We start from the raw sequence: 23737 nt of genomic DNA, 5'->3' as shown, positions 1-23737 counted from the left end.
CTGAACACCTGCTTTCCTTCTGGGAGTCTGAAAATTTTGGTATGTGCTAGGCAGAGGTGCCTACATGACTGATCAGATAAAAGCTTTGGAACCCCAGGCTCAGACAAGCTTCTCTGGAAGGCAGCGTTTCACAGATGTTGTTACAGTTTGTTGCTGGAGGAATTAAGTGCATCCTTAAGTGACTCCACTGGGAGAAAACTGGAAGTCTGCACCTGGTTTCCTCCAGACTTTGACCCATGCACCTTTTCCCTTTGCTGATTTTGCTTCGTATCCTTTGACTGTCATAAATCATAGCTGTGAGTTCAATGACATGGTGGTCCTGGGAGTCCCCCTAGTGAGCCACTGAACCTGAGGTGGTCCTGGGAACCCCTGGCACAGAGCATCATAAGTGGACCTCACTAGAAGGACCTTGGCTCTGATATATGGTGAAAGTGCTGTTTGAGAAAAGGAAGGATGAAGGAGCGGAAGATCTGTGGATATGAATGATGTGAAACCCCAGCTGAGTTACTGTCTGCTGCAAGAGGTAAAAGTTACCGATGAAATTTGAAAATGATCGCTCCAATCCCAGAGAACTGGCTTGCCGGACATCCTGGGTGCTTTTGGCAGTGCTGGCTAAAGTGAGGGGAAAAATGGTCAGCTTGCTCAATGTCTTTCATTTTGTTCTATCCTCCAGGTGGGAGGAAAAAGGCCCAGCCATCCCAAAAGTTTAGCTTTGGGCCAAAGATGTTAAAAATTTACCAGCCTGGCCAATATGGGGAAACCCCACCTCTACTAAAAATACAAAAATTAGCTGGGCATGGTGGCACGCACCTGTCGTCCTGGCTACTTGGGAGGCTGAGGCAGGAGAATCACTTGAACCCAGGAGGTGGAGGTTGCAGTGAGCTGAGATCGCGAAACTGCACTCCAGCCTGGGCAACAGAGTGAGACTCCGTCTCAAAAAAAAAAAAAAATTTGCATCACTCTCTTCTCCAGGTGGGAGGAAAAAAAATCAATTCCCAGGAGCAACACTTAGATACAGCAGAGAGGAAGCAGATGGGGTGGGAGGGGGAGAGGTGCAGCCATTACTATACACCTTTCCCTTCTTGCACTCCAGCCAGAGCTCCTGGCAGCTGTAAATGCTGAATTTACTGCTAAGGGTTTGAGTAAATATGCAACAAGAAAACAGTTTATTGTTTTTAATGGCTTCGTATTTGTGGCTATTGGATCTGGATGTATGGCAAGAATGGATGAGAAGTATTATAGGCTTTATAATTTCATAAATGCTAGAGTGATCATCCCAATTGGGAAAAGCTGCAAAAATATATAGAGAGATGGGACACATCTTTCTTGGTTTTTGCCACTGGTGAGCAAATTAAACTGTTTTGAGTATTAGAAATAGAGTAAGTCCCCATAGTGAGGATTTTTACTACCATGTTTGCCGATCAGAGCCTCTAGGAAAAGGCAATCAGCGTGAAAAGAGAGCCACTCACCAGATTAAAACCACTTTTGGAATTTTAAAAAGCAGGCTTTAATTGCTAATGAGCTCCCATAAATCATATCAGATGTTGTGAAATCCGATCCTTACAGGCTGATAATTTTCCAGCCTGCTGTGGGTCAACTTGGACTCTTAAGAATGGCACAGAGACAAAGGGTTTAGGAAAGCCTCGCTTGTCATTCAGACTTGGAACACAGCGATTTGGCCCTCCAGTGTCTTGCCTTTTTTGCAGTCAAAGAAATACCCTTGGTGTTTTTGGAATCTTGCATTCTCTGCCCCTAATTGCCTGGGCTCCATGGAGCTGAAACCTGATGCTGTCTGCCATGGGCTGGTTCAGCCTCTGCTCCAGCTGTGCTGAGCTGAAGAGGCACTGGCTTGACTTTGACTCCAGGATTGCCATAGATACTGGACACCTCTTTGGGGCCCTAAACTATGAGAACATTCTGGCTGGATTGTCTGGATCCCATACAAATGTCCACAGGAAAAGGCTTATACACTGCTGGGACCATCTGAAATCAGGTGGCAGATAGGCTCTGTATTTCTGATACAGAGACCACTTGCAGTCTGACTTGAGATTACTGCTGAAAGCTGCAGGTCAGGGAGGGCACATCACAGGGACCAGGGCCCTTTGCTCACTCCTGATAGGTGGACCCTCGACCCCCTCTTGGAGATGCCTCACTGCTGTTGATTGTTGTGTTCAACTTGCAGGACTAGTTGCAGTTTGCAACAATGGACCAATAGCCTGGCTCCATGCCTCTCTGTCCTGGGACACACACCTTAGTGAGGCATTTTGGTTACTAAGTGCAACTGTGCCCAGTAGGTGAGTGAGCTTTTCCAGGCTGCTCAGGATAAAAGGGATGGGAGGTTATATAAACCCAGTTTGAAAATTTTTGAAAATTCGGGATTCCCTCCTTGACCCATTCCTGAGCATGATGTATCTTTCTGGTTAAGTTATATAAAACCGTTTTTTGATGAAAATGCTTTTGTCCCTCTTGCATACAACCCTTCCAGGTGAGAGGTCTGGATGACAGCAGGGGATGGTTTTTAAAATGTAAAGTTATGATGGCTGAATGCGACACACCGATTTTGAAACAACAGAGAGATGACAGAAACCCTAGTACCCTGGGAGGTGCAGGGGAGCAGTGAGGGCTTTAATATCCTTTGTCTTTCAGAACTGCTTCTGGAAGCTCTCCTTTCTTCCTGAAGGGAAAACTCCCGGTGCTGCCTTTCCTAATTCTGGGAGAACTCTGAACTCTGACACGCTGAGCAGCAGGGGGCGACCCAGCCCCTCCACTTCCTGCACAGAACACCCCCCGAGGTCCTGCACACTCAGGAAGCAGGCGAGCTTGTGTCACAGACAAGCAAACCATTGGTAACTGACATCCTCAGGCAGTCCCTCTGAAACCAAAGCCTGAACTGATTTAATTGAATGAAACTGGAAGCCTAGGGTGGGAGCCCTGCGATGGGAGGTCACACTTGGGGCCTTGTCAACCTGTTCTGCTAATGTATGCAGCTTGGGGTGCCCCAATAATTGTCAACTCTTTGTTTCCAGGGGTACAACATGTGCCCTCTGGGGCTGGACTTCTTGTGTGTGTATTCTCCTGTGACAACACTGCCTTAGCCCTGGAAGGGATTCAGGTCAGCTTCATCTTATTGGACAGAGCTGCACTGTGTCTGAATTGCTGCCTTGGGCCAGGTAAAAAACGTTCATAAAAATACTTTAAAGTTTACCTTTAAAGATCTTTATGGCTGATGGGATTTGTTTTACCTGGCTAAGTACAGGGCTCCTAAAAGGCATATAACTGATAGGATCAGTACGGCAGGTTGGTCTCATCCTGCTGATGGGTCCTAGTGATAATTTTGCTGTAAAGATGCCTTGTCCAGAAAAGAGTTGGCATAGCAGGCCTGAGACTGCCATTCTTAGAAAGACCTGCTCACGAGTTTGGCTTTTTTTTAGGCGGGGGGGAGGTGGTGTGTGGTGGGTGCGGGGTGCAGTGGTGTGATCTTGGCTGACTGCAATCTCCACCTCCCAGGCTCAAGCAATCCTCCCACCTCTGCCTCCCAAGTAGCTGGGACTACAGGTATGTGCCACCACGTCCGGCTAATTTTTGTATTTTTTGTAGAGATGAGGTTTTGCCATGTTGTCCAGGCTGGTCTCAAAACTCCTGGACTCAAGCAATCCACTGGCCTTGGCCTCCCAAAATGCCAGGATTACAGGTGTGAGCCTACTGCACCCAGCCAAGTTTGGCTTTTGATGGGCATTTGGGAACACAGACTTGGGGAGGGTTCTCACCATTCCCTAAGTGATCAGAGTGGCTCACTGCACTAAACCATTTGTACAAACAACATGGTTTATGCTGAACACTTGTTTTCTTTCTGGAAATCCGGAATTTTTGTATATGGTAGGTGGAGGGTACATGTGGCCATCCCCAGAAGAAACCTTGGGCACCGAGTCTCTATTGAGTTTCCCTGGTAGACAACATTTGACATGTGTTGTAACAATTTTTTGCTGGAGGAATTAGGCATGTCCTGTGTGACTCTACCGGGAAAAGACTTCCAAAAGCTTGGGCCTGGTTTCCCCTGTCTTTGCCCCATCCCCTTCTCCCTTTATGGATTTTGCTTTGTACCTGTTCCCTGTAATAAGCCACAGCTGTGGCCGGACACAGTGGTTCGTGCCTATAATCCCAGCTCTTTGGGAGGACGAGGCGGGTGGATCACCTGAGGTCAGGAGTTCGAGACCAGCCTGGCCAACATGGTGAAACCCCATCTCTACTAAAAATACAAAAATTAGCCAGTATGGCAGCACACGCCTGTAGTCCCAGCTACTCGGGAGGCTGAGGCATGAGAATCTCTTGAACCTGGGAGGTGGAGGTTGCAGTCAGCCAAGATGACAGCACTGCACTCCAGAAAAGAAAAAAGCCAAACTTGTGAACAGGTTTCTCTAAGAATGGCAGTCTCAGGCCTGCTATGCCAACTCTTTTCTGGATGAGGCGTCTTTACAGCAAAATTATCACTAAGACCCATCACACACACACACACACACACACACACACACACACACACCACACAAAAGAGCAAGACCCCATCTCAAAAAAAAAAAAAAGTCACAGCTGTGAGTACAACTATATGCTGAGTTTTCTGACATCTCCTAGTGAAGCAGTGAACCTGGGGGTGGTCTTGGAGACCCCAACATAGTGAGAAAAAAGGTAAAAAAGGATGAAAGAGATGTATAGGAAGGGAGAAGAAGGAAGAAGATAGTATAACCCAAGAAGGTGGAGGGAGAGGGACGAAGAAGGGAACGGGGTTAAAAGTCAATATACTGGTAGAACTGAACCTAGCGGCTTCCGGGCTGCCATACCTAATGTGAATTCCAAGACTCACAACATCAGAAGACAATCCTCAGACATCCCTGGCACAACACAATTGTCCCAGCAAAACAGAAATCCCAATACTCCCAACTCTGCTGGGAAACATGAACGAAAATCATCACAATCAATCCTTTACAGATGTGCAAGACTGAAGAGCTTTTGTCCATTTTATGGAACTTTGACACCACTCTGTGAGGCAGGCTGGACAGGGATTCACAGAGCATTTAAAGGCCTCCTGCTCCTAGAGTCCAAATTAATTGCCCCATCTGTTTGTATTTCTTTGACAAAACTTCCCATGATCAGATCTGCATTGTGTGTTGGTTTACTGTGCACATCTGCCTTTTCCACTAGACTTGATTTCCTTGAAGGGGCACGGTCTGAATTTTTTTTTTCTTGTCTTGTCTTTCTTTGGGTGAGAGATAAGATAATCTTTTCTTTCTTTCTTTCTTTTTTTTTTTTTTTTTTTTGAGACGGAATTTCACTCGTCACCCAGGCTGGAGTGCAATGGTGCCATCTCGGCTCACTGCAACCTCCGCCTCCTGGGTTCAAGCAATTCTTCTGCCTCAGCCTCCTGAGTACCTGGGATTACAGGCACCTGTCACCATCCCCAGCTAATTTTTGTATTTTTAGTAGAGACAGGGTTTCACCATGTTGGCCAGGCTGGTCTCGAACTCCTGACCTCAGATGATCCCCCAGCCTCGGCCTCCCAAAGTGCTGGGATTACTGGTGTGAGCCATTGTGCCTGGCCAAGGTAATCTTTTCTTTTCTTTTCTTTCTTTCTTTTTTTTTTTGAGATGGAGTCTCACTCTGTCACCCAGGCTGGGAGTGCAGTGGCACGATCTCAGTTTACTGCAACCTCCCCCTCCCGGGTTCAAGCAATTCTCCCGCCTCAGCCTCTTGAGTAGCTGGGATTACAGGAGCCCACGACCATGCTCAGCTAATTTTTGTTTTAGTAGAGACGGGGTTTCATCATGTTGGCCAGGCTGGTCTTGAACTCCTGACCTCAGGTGATCCGCCCACCTTGGCCTCTCAGAGTGCTGGGATTACAGGCATGAGCCACTGCGCCCGGCCAAGATAATCTTTTCTAGTGATAAATTCATTGTGGGAAAATAATAAAAATAAAACAAAAGTCACATGGGATCCCTATTTTAGTCAACTCTGTATCCTATTCAGATTCAAGAATAACCTGGCATACAGTAGGCATTCAATCAACATTCGCTGATCTGTTGTTAGCTAAGATTCTAGTTATGAGGACACCTTCCTCAAGGGATTATCAGGAGAATTATATGAGAATGTACATAAGTGAATCTGGTAAACTGCAAAGCATTTTTTAGATCTAAATTAGCCATTATAATAATGCATCCTCAACCTTACATTCATTTAAGAAAATATTTGAGCTGGCTGCAGTGACTCACACCTATAATCCCAGCACTTTGGGATACTGAGGCTGGAGGATCACTTGAGCCCAGGAGTTTGAGACCAGCCTGGGGAACATAGCAAGACCCCTGTCTTTACAAAATTTCTTTTAAAAAATTAGCTGGGTGTGATGGCATGCACCTATAGTCCCAGCTACTTAGGAGGCTGAGGTAGGAGGATCACCTGAGCCCAGGAGTTCAAGGCTGCAGTGAACCATGATCATGCCACTGCACTCCAGCCTGGGCAACAGACCCTATCTCTTAAAAAAAAAAAAAAAAAAAGAAGAGAGAAAGAAAAAAGAAAGAAAGAAAGAAAAAGAGGGAGGAGGGAGGGAGGGAGGAGGGAGGAAAGAAGGGAGGAAAAAGACGGAAGGAAGGAAAAGAAAAAAGAGAAAGAAAGAGGGAGACAGAAAGGGAGGGAGGGAAGGAGGGAGAGAAAGAAAGAAACAAAGAGGGAGGGAGGGAAGAAGGAAGGGAAGGAAAGAAGGGAGGAAGGAGGAAAAGAAAGAAGAAAGGAAGAGAAAGAAGAAAGAGAGAAAGAAAGAAAATGAAAGGAAGAAGAAAAAAGGAAGGAAGGGAGGGACGGAAGGAAAGAAAGGAAGAGAAAGAAGAAAGAGAGAAAGAAAGAAAATGAAAGAAAGAAGAAAAAAGGAAGGGAGGGAGGGAAGGAAAGAAGGAAGGAAGGAGAGAGAGAGAAAGAAAGAAAAAGAAAGAAAGAAAGGAAAAAGAAAGAAAGAAAAAGAAAACTTTGAGAAGATGACTACATTTTCCAAGTGAGCTGATGAGCCGCCGCTTGTAGGAGGGTGCCTTGATTCTCCCATTTGTAGATAACAACACTGAGGCTCAGAGAGTTGGAACGATTTACCTAAGGGTCACATAAACATGTTTTTATCTATGTCAGTCAGTGTCTTCCCCTCAGAAATTAGATTTGACTTTATAATTTATTCTCACTTAATTTCCTAGTACAGTTGTAACGGATTTTAAGTTAATAGCTTTTTCTCTTCTCTTTCCCTTTTTGCTTTCACTTATCAAAATTGTCACAAATCTTCAACACCCCAAAAAAGGCATACTATTTCTTCACGGAGAGGTGGAAAGAACATGAATATTGGAATGAGACAGACTCGGGTTTGAATCTAGGCTCTGCTTCTCATTAGCCAGGCAACTTTGGGCAAAGAACTTAATTTCCATGAGACTTAATGCATTTGCAAAGTAAGGTCAATAATATCTATTAATGCCTTCTAAAGTTATGAAAATGAAGGATAATATATGTGGAGCACCTGGCTCTGTGCTTGGCGCCTTGTAGACACTTTATAAATGATAGCTGAGTGTTGTTGTAGTTATTGTCATCATTACTATTATTAATAAGTTGAAACAGGAGGATAAAGAACCACAAATTTTGTGGGTTTTTTTTTTTTTTTGAGATAGAGTCTTGCTCTGTCGCCCAGGCTGGAGTGCAGTGGTGCGATCTTGGCTCACTGCAACCTCTGCCTCCTGGGTTCAAGCGAGAATCACAAATTTTGGCTGTGTTACCTATCACTTGGTAAGCGCTAGTGAAACTGGACTGGCAGGTCACTTGTGAAGCCAGCATCAAAAGGTCTTTCCCTCAAGAGACCACAAAAACAAAATATTGAAGTCAGCAACTTCCACTTCTGAGGTGAGGCATTGAGTAGATTCAACAGTCCCATCCAGGTGTGACATTTCTTTTTAGCATCAGCTTCACTGCTCATGACTCACTAAACTTGGAGACAAGGGATAGGAATTACTGAATTTGTCATAGCATCTCATGAATGAATGTGTATGGTAAGGACAAAAGGGGCTGAGAACCAAGCCCTGTATTGGGGTGGGGAAGGGAAAATGAAGAACTTAAAACTTCAATAAAGAGAATGAGGAAGGATCTGAATCAAGCAAAGTACAGGGGCGAAACCTGCCAGCTTGTGATCGAGTCATGGCGAGAGCTTCTTAACTCAGTTACGTCTAAAAGAAACACCAATACTTGGCGTCAGTCTTCAGTAGATAAGAAATGTGGGGGAAAAAAATAATAACCAGGAAAGACACAGGGTCAGAGAGCTGGGAGGGAGCTCAAGGTCACCAGTGTAGTCATTTTTATACTGTGGCCCCAAGTCTTCAGAGGTGCTTCCGAGACACCACAGATCCTGAAGGATTCCTTGCCAAGAGGATGGCTTGCTGTTTCGGGAACCTATACAAGCTTTTGTTCTGTTTTTGTTCCAGTTCTAAAGAATTTAAACACCAGTGTTATATACCAATGCCTGTCTTTTACAGACGAGAACCTGAAGTCCAGAGAGGAAAATTAACTTGCTCAAAGTAACACAAGGGAAGGCTTGGGCCTTCAACCCGTAAGTCTTGCTCTATCCCCAAATAGGAATGTGAGACAGACACACTGGCTATTCATTCCAGTTTATACATGATGCCAGATGTGGGGCTCTACCTCGCCTAAACTTAAAGGAACTCTTCTTTTTTCTGGAGACAGGGTCTCACTCTGTTTCCCAGGTTGAGTGCAGTGGCAGAATCACAGTTCGCTGCAGCCTCAACCTCCTGGGCTCAAATGATCCTCCTGCCTCAGCCTCCTGAGTAGCTGGGACTACAGGCATGTCCCACCACGCCCGGCTAATTTTTTATTTTTTGTAGAGACAGGGTCTCTCTACGTTGCCCAAGCTGGTCTCAAACTCCTGAACACAAGCGATCCTCCCTACTCAGGCTCCCAACATGCTGGGATTACAGGCATAAGCCACTGTGCCAAAGTCATAATGAGAGGCCTTCTCTTGTCATTAGGAGGTGAGGTTCAGTAGGGCTTCAATGTCTGGGCAGTGGAGGGTTCCTGCTTCCTGAAAGGCGACCTCTTAAAATAGCACTTGTTTATTTACACCAGGACTGACCTCTCATCTCCAGCCTCCTGATCCATGCTGGTCTGGCCCAGTTCCCTGTTACTTTCCAGCTCTCACCTTTCTGCCCCTCTAGGCTTGTCTTGGGCCCATAAACTATAGGATTGAGTGAGAAGTGCCCGGATTTCTCCATTCCCTGTTTTACTGGCTGTCATTGGGCCTGAATGGGCTCCACCTCCTTGGAATTCCCTAATGCAGCTAATTGATTCCATTCATAAGAGTCCCCAAGTTCTTAAAGCTGGAAGAAAATTTTGAGACCATTTCATTGAGTCTCCTAATTTTATAGATGAAGAAACTGAGGTCCGTGTGATTCACACAAAGTCACGTGGTCATATCAGGATTCAAATTCATGTTTTGTAATTCTACATCCAACACCCTTTCCGATAGCCATACCATCATTCTCCCATTTAATTCAATTCAGTTTAAATCAAAACATACCTGTGGAGGCTGGGAGTGGTGGCTTAGGCCTATAATCTCAGCACTTTGGGAGGCTAAGGCAGGTGGATCACCTGAGGTCAGAAGTTTGAGACCAGCCTGACCAACATGGTGAAATCCCATCTCTACTAAAAATACAAAAATTAGCCGGGCATGGTGGTGGGTTCTTGTAGTCCCAGCTACTCGGGAGGCTGAGGCAGGAGAATCGCTTGAACCTGGGAGGCAGAGGGTGCAGTGAGCCCGTAGTTCTAGCTACTGAGGAGGCTGAGGTGGGAGGATTGCTGGAGCCCAGAAGGACGAGGCTACAATGAGTCGTGATTGTGCCACTACACACCAGCCTGGGTGACAGAATGAGACCACTGTCTCAAGAGGAAGGGAGGGAGGGAGGGAGAGAGGGGGGAAAGAAGGAAGGAAGGAAGGAAGGAAGGAAAGAAAGAAAGAAAGAAAGAAAGAAAGAAAGAAAGAAAGAAAGAAAGAAAGAAAGAAAGAAAGAAAGAGGAGTGAGCACATGGAAAGAACCTGGTTCCTGGATGGAATCATTCCTGAGCTGCCACCCCAGCCCTAGACTGCCTGTCCCCACACTTCTTGTTGCATGAAATAAAAGAATCCCTCTTTGGTTCAGCCAAATAGCAGCACTTCTCTTATATGCAGCTGAACACAATTGTGAATGGCTCATGGGCCTTGAAAAAGTCTTGGGATTTCAACAAACAGAGGCAGAAGACAGTGTCAGGAAACGCTCAAGACAGGGAAAGCTGGGGGCATGTTCTTGACAAAGCAGGCGGAGCAGATAGGGAGGTCAGAAGAGACGTTGTGATAGGGACAGAAGACCAGGGAGGCTCAGAGGATGGATGTGGATTTCATTCTGAAAGCAGGGAAGAATTGCTGGGGGAAGTGAGCAGTGCTGTTCTTGGGGAGTTGACGCTAGTTCCTTGGCACCGAGTGAGCCTTGGGCCCCCGGATGAGCAGGCAGGGCAGCTACTGAGGAGCCTGGAGTGAGAGTGGGTGGCCTATTTCATTCCAATCTGCTGTGCTTGTATTACATTCCTGTTAGCTTAGTATCTGCACAGAACACCAGGGACCGCAGTACCGCAAACTCTTTGGCATTCTGAAGGCCCTGCTCTCGCTGTGTCACTTTCCTCCCACTGGCAATTACCAGACTGGCAAACCGCAGCCAGCCGAACCTCGCCCTCTGGCTTCCAAAGCGTGCCCTGCTTTGACTGCAGCATGTTGTAAGCCACAAACATCTTCGCCAAGAAATGATTAGAGAAGGAAGCTATGAGAAAACAAATGTGTATAAAAATAAGACATGGTCTTGAGTCATTGATAGGAAAATGGAAGCGGAAAAGATATCCAACCCAGAATGGCCTTCAACAAGTTCAGGGACCCACAGGCAGCTACAAGGAAGGAAGTGTTCCCTGGTTTCGTCTTTTTGTGTGAACGGATTCTCTGATTTTGATACTTGAGCCTCAGAGGCAGGTGATGCAATGGGAAAATACAATATTGTTCCCAGTCTGCCCCTGACTACCTGTTTGAGCTCACAAAACAAAACAAAACACCTACCACTCTCTAGACTTTAATCTCCCCACCTACCCACCTTGACACTGAGAGGATTGGACCAGAGAAATCAAAGCCTCATCCTCCTCAAAAACGTTCCGGCCCCCATCTCCCTGCGCAGCCAGCAGTGTCCCGGCTCTCTGCCCATCTAACATACCAGGCCTCATGTTGCATGTGTTTGACTCTGTCCCGAGTCCCCAGCTAGTTCCTCGAGGACAAGAATCCTGTTTTCCCCGCAGTCAGTACACATAGCAGAAACTCAATACATCTTGACTGAATGGATTCGTGGGCTGCACAGTTGTTTCTTGATAAAGGTTTCAGGACGGAAGCGGAGATGCTGTCAGGGCAGGAAATGGCACGTCAGTGACACTCCCAGGCTCTAGGCAAATCAGCTGGAAGAGAGAATGGAGCTAAGTTCGTGCAATTTATCAACAACTATATTCCATAGAATTAACCCACCAGATGTTTTCACCTTCCGCGAAAAAAAAAAAAAAAAAAAGCGCTCTGGTCAAAAAAGATTAAGAAATTTACTAACCGAATCCCACGTTCCACTCATTCCTCTATGGACATGAGCCTAGAAAAGGCTCTAAGATATCTGTTTACTTTTATGTAACCTAGAATTTCCCAAACCTAGGGAACCTGTGTTCGGAAAATGCCCATAAACTGCATGAACGCAGTTTGAGAAGCACTGGTTTAGTGTGAATGGTTTCTACAGTGAAGTTTTTATTTACAAACCATGTTGGGGTCTGTGAAAAGCCCCTTTAGGGCCAAAAATCACTGGTCACTGCATAATCAAATAGACAGACAGATATAATAATTCAGATTATTATTATAATAATTATGTTATTATTATAATTATTATCTCATTCAGTTAACACCTATTCAACAGCAACTGATTGTCTAGTATGCATCCCACACAAGGGATATGAGGATAAATAAGACAGGGTCCTCTCTGCAAAAGAGCACGTCCCTAAAGGGGAGGAGAAAGTACAGAATATTGTGCTGAGTACTGTAAGCAGATGTTATGGGAAGGCAGAAGAAGGTACCTGGGAGAATCATGGAAACTAGACCTTGAGTAATAAAAATAATAACATTAACAACAATACCTTCATCAAGTGCTAACCACGTACCAAACACTGTTCTAAGCACTTTACGTATATTAACCCACTTATACCTCATAACAGTCTTACCAGTTACTTTCAGTACCTACATTTTACAATGAGATCATTGAGTCTCAGAGAGGCTAAGTAACTTGCCCGAGATCACACAGCTAGAAATATGACATGGTCAGGATTCAAACCCAGGCAGTCTGGCTCCAAAGTCCATACTTTTCAGCAGTAGGCTGTACTTACTGCCTTTTGGGATGAGTAGTAAGTATACCAGATGGAAAAGGACAGAAACCTTCCAGGCAAAGGGAATAGGAAAAATAGCAAGTAGTTCTACGTGCATCAAACGTGGACTCTCAAATCTATGCCAGTAGGCTCTGGCTGTATCCTGTGGACTTGGGTGCTCAGATCTTTCCACTGATGTCCTTCAGGCAAGAAAGGAAAACATGAGCCTTTAGGGGAATCTGGAAGTGTAGCTTGAAAAAACCTCCACAAATTTCTTTTGAAGTCTCCCACCACCATCTGAAAAATGCATGAGAATTCTATATTTGACACCATAATAGAATTGTGTTGACTCCATATAAAACATTTTAACCACTTAGCAGTTCAATTAACATTTTTACATAGAACTCCAGGAACACATGCCATTATTTCTCTTGAGGCCTCGGGTATCCCTGGCAACCTGCTTGCATCCATGACTCCCCAGCTGGAGGCCTAGCTGTAAACAGCAGGAAGTCATTTAAGATGCCTGAGCCAGGGACGGACCCAGCACATTTGCGTTTTCAAAAGGTGACTCTTCAGAATAGCAGGAACCTAGGAATAACTTAAATATCCATCAAGAGAAACTGGTTAAATAAATACGTTCATCCACTGGAATACTACAGTGCTCTAACAGAATGAGAGACCAGCATTTACAGATGAGAAAAGCTCTCTAAGGTAACATAGTCAATGAAAAGAGCCGAGTGCAGACCAGTGTGTACAGTGGATTCCCACTTGTGTGTGAGGTGTGGAAAGCATGTATGTTTTAAGGATATGCTTTTACAGGCAGAGAAAACTTGTAGAAGGAGAGACAACAAATGTCAACAGTAAGGATCTCTGGGGAAGGGAACCACGAGAGAACTTACATTTTTTGTTGTTTTTGAGACGGAGTCTCACTTTGCTACCCAGGCTGGAGTGCAGTGTAGCGATCTGGTCTCATAGAACCTCTCGGGTTCAAGTGATTCTCGTGCCTCAGCCTCCTGAGTAACTTGGACTACAGGCACCCACCACCACACTCAGCTAATTTTTGTATTTTTAGTAGAGATGGAGTTTTGTCATGTTGACCAGGCTAGTCTCAAACTCCTGATGTCAGGTGATCCGCCCCCCTTAGCCCCCCGAAGTGCTGTGATTACAGGCGTGAGCCACCACTCCCAGCTGAGAACTTACTTTTTATTGCATATCTTTCAGTACTGTTTGGATTTCTACCATGTGCATTTATTACTTTTTAAATAAAAGAAACAGTTTGGCCGGGCGCAGTGGCTCACGCCTGTAATCCCAGCACTTTGGGAGGCCGAGGCAGGCAGATCACCTGAGATCAGGAGTTCAAGGCCAGCCTGGCCAACGTGGTGAAATCCCATCTCTACTAAAAAAAATAATAATAATAATACGAAAATTAGCCGAGCGTGGTGCCACGCACCTGTAATCCCAGCTACTCGGGAGGCTGAGGCAGGAGAATCGCTTGAACCCAGGTGGCAGAGGTTGCAGTGAGCTGAGATCACGCCATTGCACTCTAGCCTGGGCAGCAAGAGTGAAACTCCGTCTAAAAAAAATAAATAAATAGTTTAGTGAATCTCAGAAAGTTAAAAAGTAGTTTTTAAGAAAAAGGAAAACTGAGAAAAAAACTGCTAGCTTTACAGCATAGATGATGAGTGGGGAAAAAAGAGTGATTCTAGTTGTCCCTTGGTATGTGCAGAGAGCGGGTGAAGGGAGGAATTGGTTCCAGGACCCCTATGGGTATCAAAATCCATGGATGCTCAAGTCCCTTGTATAAAATGGCATGGGATTTGCATACAATCTACACACAGCCTCTCCTGCATTTTAAATCATCTCTAGTTCACATATAATTCTTAATACAATGTAAACTATGTAAATAGTTGCTATACTATATTTTTAAAATTTGTATAATTTTTAATTGTATTGTTATTTAATTTTCTTTTTTAAAAAATACTTTTATATTAAAAATAATTTTTTATCTTAACCCAACATAGATATATTGTTATTTTTGAATGTGTTTTATTTTTCAAAGATTTTTGATCCAAAATTGGTTGAATCTGTGGGTGTGGTGTGGAACTTGCAGATACAGAGACCAATTATATAGAGAAAGACCCATTACTGGCAGGGCAAGTTAGCTCACATCTGTAATCCCAGCACTTTGGGAGGCCGAGGCAGGCGGATCACCTGAGGTCAGAGGTTCGAGACCAGCCTGGGTGACATGGTGAAAACCCGTCTCTATTAAAAATACAAAAAATTAGCCGGGCGTGGTGGCAGGTACCTGTAATCCCAGCTACTTGGTAGGCTGAGGCAGGAGAATCTCTTGAACCCTGCAGGCAGAGGTTGCAGTGAGCCGTAATCGCACCATTGCACTCCAGCCTGGGCAACAAGAACAAAACTCCTCTCCAAAAAAAAAAAAAAAAAAAGAGAAAGGCCTATTACAAAGCCACTGTCCTACAGCAAGATGACAAAATTGAACCAAGGAAGTGGCAGTAGGGCTAAGGAAGAAAACCGAGAGATATTTAAGCAGTAAAAACTCTAGGACTCGGCAACTCGTTAAGTTGCGGGGGGTATAACAGAGGTAGACGTTAAGAATAAATTCGGCAATAGGAGAGACGGGGGAGCTGTTCACTAGGAACATGTGTGCAAAAGAAACAGCCAGAATGTGGGGAGGATAATGAGTTCAGTGTTGGACATGCTAGGTTTGAAGTATCTTAGGACATTCAGATAGAGGTGACCTATTAGAAAAGTGAGTGTAAGGTTTTTGATCGTAAACAATTCCATTTACCTTATTGATGGCAATTTACTAAGTTCTAACAATGAAGAATGAAATGAGATTACCTTTCTGTGTAGTAAAGCATCCACATAGAGGGCCTGAGATTGCTATCCTGAGAAAGGCCTGCCTCGAAAGGCTGGATCTTGGCTGACTTCTGTGAACTTGCCTGGTAAAGAGTTCCCTATACCGATATGAAACTAAATGATAAGAGTGGCTCACTAGGCCTAGGTCATATTTGTGCAAACAACATGCTTTATACTTATACTGAATACCAGTTTTCCTTCTGGAAGTCTGGAGTGTTTGTACATGCTAGGCAGAGGGTGTCTATGTGACCAACCCCCGTGTAGAAACCTTGGGCACTGAGTCTGATGAGTTTCTCTGGTAGACAACATTTTTTTTTTTCTTGAGACGGAGTCTTGCTCTGTCGCCCAGGCTGGAGTGCAGTGGTGCCATCTTGGCTCGCTGCAGCCTCTGCCTCCTGGGTTCAAGCGATTCTCCTGCCTCAGCTTCCCAAGGAGCTGGGATTACAGGCATGTGCCACAATGCCCAGCTAATTTTTGTATTTTTAGTAGAGATGGTTTCGCCATGTTGGCCAGGCTGATCTTGAACTCCTGACCTCAGGTGATCTGCCCGCCTTGGCCTCCCGAAGTGCTGGGATTACAGGTGTGAGCCACTGTGCCCAGCCTGGTAGACAACATTTGCTGTGTGTTGTCATAATTTGTTGCTGGAGGAATTCGGCACATCCTTTGTGACTGTACTGGGAGAGGACCATGGAAGCGCCTGGTTTTCTCTGGACTCCCCCACATAGCTTTCTCCTTCATTGATTTCGCTTTGTACCCTTTCCCTGTAATAAATCTTAGCCACAAGTATAACTATATGCTACACCCTGTAATTCCTTCTAGCAAATTACCAAACCTGTGGGTAGTCTTAGAGACCCTCAACACGTCTTCCTTCAGGTGGGGCTGAGGTGGGAGATACACTCAAAATCTAAATCTGCACAGTCTCTCTGTTCTCCTCACCGTCCACCAATGTCTCTCTGTCACAATTCCTTATGAAGATATAACTTAAATGTTCATTTTTTAAAAGCCCAGAGTTTTTCATAAAAAAAGGTGTGGCACAGTGGCTCACGTCTGTAATCCCAGCACTTTGGGAGGCCAAGGCAGGCAGATCACTTGAGGTCAGGAGTTCGAGACCAGCATGGCCAACATGGTGAAACCCTGTCTCTACTAAAAATACGAAAATTAGCCAGGCCTGGTGACGCATGCTCTAATCCTAGCTATTCAGGAAGCTGAGGCATGAGAATCACTTGAACCTGGGTGGAGGTTGCAGTGAACCGAGATTGTGCCACTGCAGTCCAGCCTAGGTGACAGACTGAGACGCTGGTTCAAAAAAAATAGGTGTGGTGCAAGCAAGGGGTGCTCCTGCGGCTATGCCTGTCCCATAACATGGGCCTTACTGACTCTGTAGCATGCCTCAAACCAAGCTGCTCACTTCCAAGCTTTGGCAAAATGCTTGGTGATGACTGCATGGTCCTCTAAGTGCCTATTAATTCTGACAGTCCATGCCTTTGTGATTGTTCCATATTGGAATGGTTTGGGATTCTCCTGAGACAAATCCCAACCGAGGAAACAAAGGCTGATTGACACAAAGCCTGTAAAAGGAGGTGCAGGAAGAATTTTCCACCCCTGGCCAGAGTCCAAACTAGCCCCTATTAACATGTGATGAATGAAGGGTGATGCACCCAGGACTTTTGATCTTTATAATCCCCAAGCTGTCCAGTTCAGGAAACTGCTCATTCTCCTAGCCAGGCCCTGGCTCCAGGAGGTCTCAGTCATAAAGGCGTGTCTCAGGGAGGAGCTACTAGGACAAGCAATGGTTCCTTATGCTGGCTCTACTCTGAAAACTGCCAAAGCATCACTTAGTGGTGATGCTTCTTTGAGAAACGTGGGGGTTGGATGGCCTTTTTGTGTTATAAGTCAGAATGTTCGTTGCAGCCACAACTTGTAAGGCCATATCACCAGCTGGAGTAAAAGACAAGGCCTCGCAAGCCTTTCATTGTCCACCTCCGTCACCCAAGGGACTGACCTCCTTCCTAGAGCTTTGACAGGAGTCGTGTCATCTTTTCCTTTTTAGTCTCTCTGACAATGCCTCACTCCTCCCAGGAAAATATAACAACGCCAGTCTTGAAAGTAACAGCCCTACTCAGCTCCAGATGGGAGAGCTTATTGGGCTATGAAGGGTACGGCGAGAATGCTACTCACACACAGTTTCATGCGTGCATGGATAAGTCGGTCATTGGTTTTCCCATATAATTATAGAGACCATCTAAGTCTTTGTAAGTCCTAGCCTTTTCTTAGAGAACCCTTAGTCTTAATTCTCTCATATAGTTATCTGAGTCTAACGTTGCCTGTAATCTGGGTCTTTCTCTTGGCAGTTTACTAAGAAATCTCTACTTTCTTCTTATTCTATTTATACTCAGACTAGAATAGTCCTGCTATATTCCATTACTTTGCAGAAACACCCTTAGTTCTGAGTCATTAAAATCCAGAAAGACTCGGTTTCAAATACCACCTGTGGACTTCGGAAAGCCACATAATGTCTCTGAACTTTGTTTTCCTCACCTATGAAATAGGGGGCTATGAGGAATAAATGCAAGAATTTATGTGCCACACTTGGCCTCATGCCTTACATACAGCAAGCACTGAATACAGGGGAGCCAGTTTATTATACCACTTGCCACAGCTAAGCCTTTCTGAGCCTCCAGTTCTCTTTAATCTCTGAAGCTCAGGTTTTAGATGCCCTCACATTGACAAAAGCATTGGCTTTTTCTTCCATTTCTTTCTCTTATCTTTGATAACTTGCTATGTATTTTCTCTTTTCTTATCTCCTTATAGATAATTCTCTGAGTAACCTGAGCTCTGTTGGCACTTGTACCCTTAGCTTAGAGATTTTTTTTTTTTGAGACAGAGTCTTGCTCTGTTGCCCAAGCTGGAGTGCAGCAGTGCTATCTCAGCTCACTGCAACCTCTACCTCCCGGGTTCAAGCAATTTTCCTGCCTCAACCTCCCAAGTAGATGGGATTACAGGCACCTGCCACCACGCCCAGCTAATTTTTATATTTTTAATAGAGATGGGTTTCACCATGTTGGCCAGGCTGGTCTCGAACTCCTGACCTCAAGTGATCCACCCATCTCAGGGTCCCAAAGTGCTGGAATTACAGGCATGATCCACCGCGTCTGGCCACAATCTTTATTATAAGTACACACTATACTTCCTTCTTACCCATCCATTCTTAACACTGCCATCTTAAGTCAATCAGCATATGCTCATAGAGAACTTAACAAGACTACAGGCAGCATTTTCATGTCAAATAGGACACCTTAATTTTTCTTCAAGTGAATCACTAAGAGTTAGTGATAAATGAGGGCTTCCAGTCAAAAAAATTGTTTCCTGATTTAGTTTGAGTTTTGTAATGCCTGTGACAAGGGTGTATGATTGATTGAGATATCTAAACAACCAATTTTCTTTTTTGGACATATGCTGCACACATTCTAGATTCTTTTTTCCTCCTGAGATTCTGTTTAGGCCTCACCCCTTCGGCAAGAATAACAATAATCATATGGCACGTTGTCTACATGTGTGGGTTTCTGGAATCTACAGAGAAAAAATAAGTGTGAAACCCCTATCACGAATCTAGCCAGGATAGCTCCAAGGAAAGGCAAAAGAGAGCTCTTAAATGTTAGAGTCGGCCGGGTGTGGTGGCTCATGCCTTTAATCCCAGCACTTTGGGAGGCTGAGGCGGGTGGATCACCTGAGGTCAGGAGTTTAAGACCAGCCTGGCCAACATGGTAAAACCCCGTCTCTACTAAAAATACAAAAATTAGCTGGACATGGTGGTGGGCGCCTGTAATCCCAGCTACTCGGGAGGTTGAGGCAGGAGAATCACTTGAACCTGGGAGATGGAGGTTGCAGTGAGCCGAGATTGTACCACTGCACTCCAGCCTGGGCAACAGAGTGAGACTCTGTCAAAAAAAAAAAAGAGTCAAGAAACAGTAAGTTTTAGCCATCAGGAAAATACAAATCAAAACCACAAAGAGGTATCACTTCCCACCCACTAGAACAGCAATCACCAAAAAGACAAGTAATAACAAGGATTGGCAAGGTTGTGGAGAAATCAGAGCCTTCCTGCAATGCTGGTGGGAATGTAAAATGGTGCAGTTGATTTGGAAAACAGTTTGGCAGTTCCTCAAAAGTTTAAACATAGAGTTACCATATGTTTCAGCAATCTCACTCCTAGGTATATACCCAAGAGAAATGTCCGCATATGTCCACAGAAAACCTTGTATATGCATATTCATAGTAGCATTATTCATAATAGTCAAAAAGTATAAATAACTCAGATGTCCATCAACTGATGAATAAATAAGTCAAATGTAATGTATCTGTCTAGCAGAATAGTATTCAGCAATAAAAAGGAATGAAGTAGTGATACATGCTACAACACAAATGAACTTTGAAAACATTTTGAGAAGTGAAAAGAGCCAGACACAAAAGACCACATAGTGTATTGTTCCTTTTATAGGAAATGGACAGAATAGGCAAATCCACAGAGACAGAAAGTGGATTTGTGGTTACCGGCAGCTGAGGAGGATTGGGGGAAATGGGACTGACTACTCATCAGTACAGAGTTTCTCTTTAGGGCAAGGAAAATGTCCTGAACTCAACTGTGGTGATGGGTGTTCAATTCTGTGACTGCACTAAAAACCATGGAATTGTATGCTTTCATTAGGTGAGTTGTATGGCATGTGAATTATATCGCTAGAAAATGGTTATATTAAAAATAAAAAGGCCAGGTATGGTGGCTCACCCCTGTAATCCCAGCACTTTGGGAGGCCAAGGCAGGCAGATCACTTGAGGTCAGGAGTTCAAGACCAGCCTGGCCAACATGGCAAAACCTCGTCTCTACTAAAAATACAAAAATTAGCCAGGCATGGTGGCGCATACCTGTAATCCCAGCTCCTTGGGAAGCTGAGGCAGGAGAATTGCTTGAACCTGGGAGGCAGAGGTTGCAGTGAGCCAAGATCACACCACTGCATTCCAGCCTGGGTGACAGAGCGAGATTCCACCTCAAAATAAATAAATAAATAAATAAATAAGCAGTACAAGATCTTATCTTGATGACAAAGACCAAAGATCAAAAGACAGTTTGTATAACTTCAAGCCCTAGGCTAGTAGCAGCATGAAACTGGTCATACGTGCTGTAAGGAAGGCACTCTAAGAAAATCCAAACCTTCTAAAACAGATAAAAGTGGATCATCTAAAAAGATGCTTCAATACCACCTTGCCTAGGCTGCTATAAATTAATTATTCTGCAAACCAATCTGGATTGTTCAGGAATAATATTTATAAGTTAAAAGCTAAATCTGTATCCGGTGCTATTTAGCAATCACACCAGGTAAAGGTGTTATTGGCCCATTGTGCCTACTTCACGCCCTGTGAACAACCCATAGGTCATTCTAATCCCTGCCTAGGAGTTGTTTATAGGATCTGATTTAGCACTCTGCCTGTAACATGGCAGCTAAAATCAGCTTAGCCATCTGTCTCAAATGTTCTCAGTTCACCTCTTCCTATGAGTAAGTAGCAAAAGTAAAAAATGGTGTTCCTATATTCAGTAATAACCAACTGAAAAAATATAATAAATAAGGCCCTACTGACAATGGCAACAAAGAATACCAAATGCATGAGACCTACATACGGGAACTATAAAATTTTACTGAAGGACATAAAACAGAAGGCCTGAATAAAAGGAACGATATTCCATGTTCTATGGGAAATTTGGTACTGAAAAGAAATCAATCTTCTCCAAACTATCCCAAAGGTTCAATGTAATTCCAGTGAAAATTCTAGTGGAAAAATGAGTGTGCGAGAGTGTTGTGTGTGTGAGCGTGTGTGGGCATGCATGCACACGCATGTAGACAAGCATGTTTGCAGGGGTTGAGGGCACAATTTGGACAAATTAATTCTCCAGTTTTCTTGAATGAGACTATAGCCAAGGGTTTTTTGGAAAACAAAAACAGTGAGAATGAAATGAAGAAAGATCTTCTACAGAATTAGAGGAACAGAATAGAGACCAGAAATAGGCCCTTGTATTTATGAGAAATTTGTAAATGGTATTGGGGTAACTAGCTAGCATAAGAGGCCATGGCCTGGCCTGCTACTGAAGAGGCCCCAAGCTGGAAATCTTTATTGCATGGAAAGCCCTTATATTAAATTGAAAAGCTCTAGGCTTATAGCACAGGTAAAAATCTGTTAACAAGGATCCAGACATCAAGACATCTAGAAATCAAGTGTAGATCACAGGGCGGTTATGGAATAGTGACACTGTCATGTGAGGCAGAGCTGGAAACTATTGTATTAATGATATGACTCCCCATAATCCTGGGTTTGAAAGCAGGGGAGATACAGCAGACTCCTCTAATTCAGTCCTGGCTGTCTAAGCTCTGCCATCTCGGTGAGAATGAGCAATATGTGGGCCTTAGGGAGCTGTGACATCTTCCCTTTAAGGAGCTAAGTAAGTGCTTGCCACCACTAACTACATGTTAAGTGTCTTAATTCTGCAGACTCAGAAACTAACAGGGGTGCCCAGGTGTGGTGGCTTACACCTGTAATCCCAGTACTTTGGGAGGCTGACGAGGGAGGATTGCTTGAGCCCAGGAGTTCAAGACTAGTGTGAGAACCATAGTGAGACCCTGTCTTTAAAAGATAAATAAATAAAAATAAATATTTAATGAACTAACAGAGGTCTTGGCCTCCCATACCTCTCCATTGGGAAAAGTGAAAAATTAAACCTCTCTCTCACTCTATTTTTTTAAATATATTTTTTTCTGTAATTAGAGTTAAATATGAACTCTCCCTCACTCTAGACACAAAAATTAATTCCAAATAAATTAACCTTCTGATGCGACAATTCAACTTACAGGAATTTCATCTACTGAACACTCATAAAAAGTGGATCAAAATATGTAAAATAATATTTACTACAGTAATATTTCTGTTGGCCAAAAGAGTAGAAAATAATAGTTAATCTATGTTGAGGACTTACTGTGGCTTTGATTGAAGCTCTTTACACAGAGTCCCTCACTTGATCTTCACAATAGCGCTATGAAATAGGCGGTATTGTTATTTCCATGTTATAGGCAGAGAACCAGTGGTGGAGAGAGGTAATGATACTATCCAAGGTCATGCGTCTGGGTTTGCACTCCGAATATCTGGCTCCAAATCTCACTCTCTTAACTAGTACTCTTCACTGCCTCAATCCAAATGTCCATTCTTCATTCATTTATTCAAAAAACGTTAACTGAGCGCTGCCACGCTCTAGTCATTGGGATAAGCACTGGAGACACTGTGCACAAAACTAGGTATGGTCGGGTGCAATGGCTGACGCCTGTAATCCCAGCACTTTGAGAGGTTGAGGCGAGTGGATCACCTGAGGTCAGGAGTTCAAGACCAGCCTGGACGACATGGTGAAACCCCATCTGTAATAAAAACGCAAAAATTAGCCGGGTATGGTAGCTTACACCTGTAGTCCCAGCTACTGAGGGACTGAGGCTGAGAAAGGCAGGGGAATCGCTTGAACCCAGGAGGCAGAGGTTGCAGTGAGCCGAGATCATACTACTGCACTCCAGCCTGACAGCGAGACTCTGTCTCAAAAAAAAAAAAAAAAAAAAGTAGATATAGTCCCTCCTGTCATTGAGCTTACAGTCTTATGGGAGAACAAGACATACAACAATGTATACTTATAAACTGTGATGAGTGCAAGGAAGAAGGATATACAGTGCTTTCCTTTGAGACTATTTAATAGGTCACATGATGAAATGCAGGGTTTGGGGAACATTTCCCTGAAGATGCCACATCAGAGCTGAGATCTGATGGGGGAGTAGGTATGTGTATGTGTGTGAGAGCTTGAAATGTATTAGTGAAGGGAACAACTTGTATAATGACCCTGTGGCAGGAGGAAATGTGGTATAATCACTTACACCAGTCACCACAAGCACAATTTTAGGGCCCTGGCTTATAAGAAACCTATGCATGCCATCCTTTTTGCAACCTCCAAGCCAGAGGGTACTAGAGCTTGGAAGGGTGAAGGGTTACAGCAATTTGGGCCATGCCTCTAGGGGATGGGAGAGAAGGAGTTGATACGTTCCAGTTGCTGGGCTAGGACTTAGCATTCTTTGCGTGCAAACAGCACTTTGAGTAATACACATCTGCAGGATGGAATGAGTCTGTTCTCGTTTAGAGGGAGATCACTGTAGACCAGGCCTTCGGACATGTTCCCCTCCAGAAAGGAGAGACAAAGACAGATGGAAACAAATAAATGACCAGAGACAGAACTCAGTTCCAAAGATACACCATGGTAACAGTGGGAGGTCCTGGCTACTTCCAAAAGTCAGACAAAATCACA

General features: G+C 44.3%; 1 long non-coding RNA gene across 1 annotated transcript; it reads right to left on the bottom strand.

Annotated features, from left to right (window-relative positions):
* Nucleotides 1–11303: 11303 nt before the first annotated feature.
* Nucleotides 11304–22775, bottom strand: LOC124904860 (uncharacterized). The gene is made up of 2 exons (XR_007067501.1): nucleotides 22379–22775; nucleotides 11304–11538 (listed from the first exon to the last, which is right to left on the bottom strand). It is a non-coding gene; the product is annotated as an uncharacterized LOC124904860 (long non-coding RNA).
* Between the last annotated feature and the right edge of the window lie 962 nt (nucleotides 22776–23737).

The sequence above is a fragment of the Homo sapiens genome, chromosome 20 (genome assembly GCF_000001405.40).
Source record: "Homo sapiens chromosome 20, GRCh38.p14 Primary Assembly".
NCBI classification, from domain to species: Eukaryota; Metazoa; Chordata; class Mammalia; order Primates; family Hominidae; genus Homo; species Homo sapiens.
This window is presented reverse-complemented; position numbering and strand designations above follow the sequence as displayed.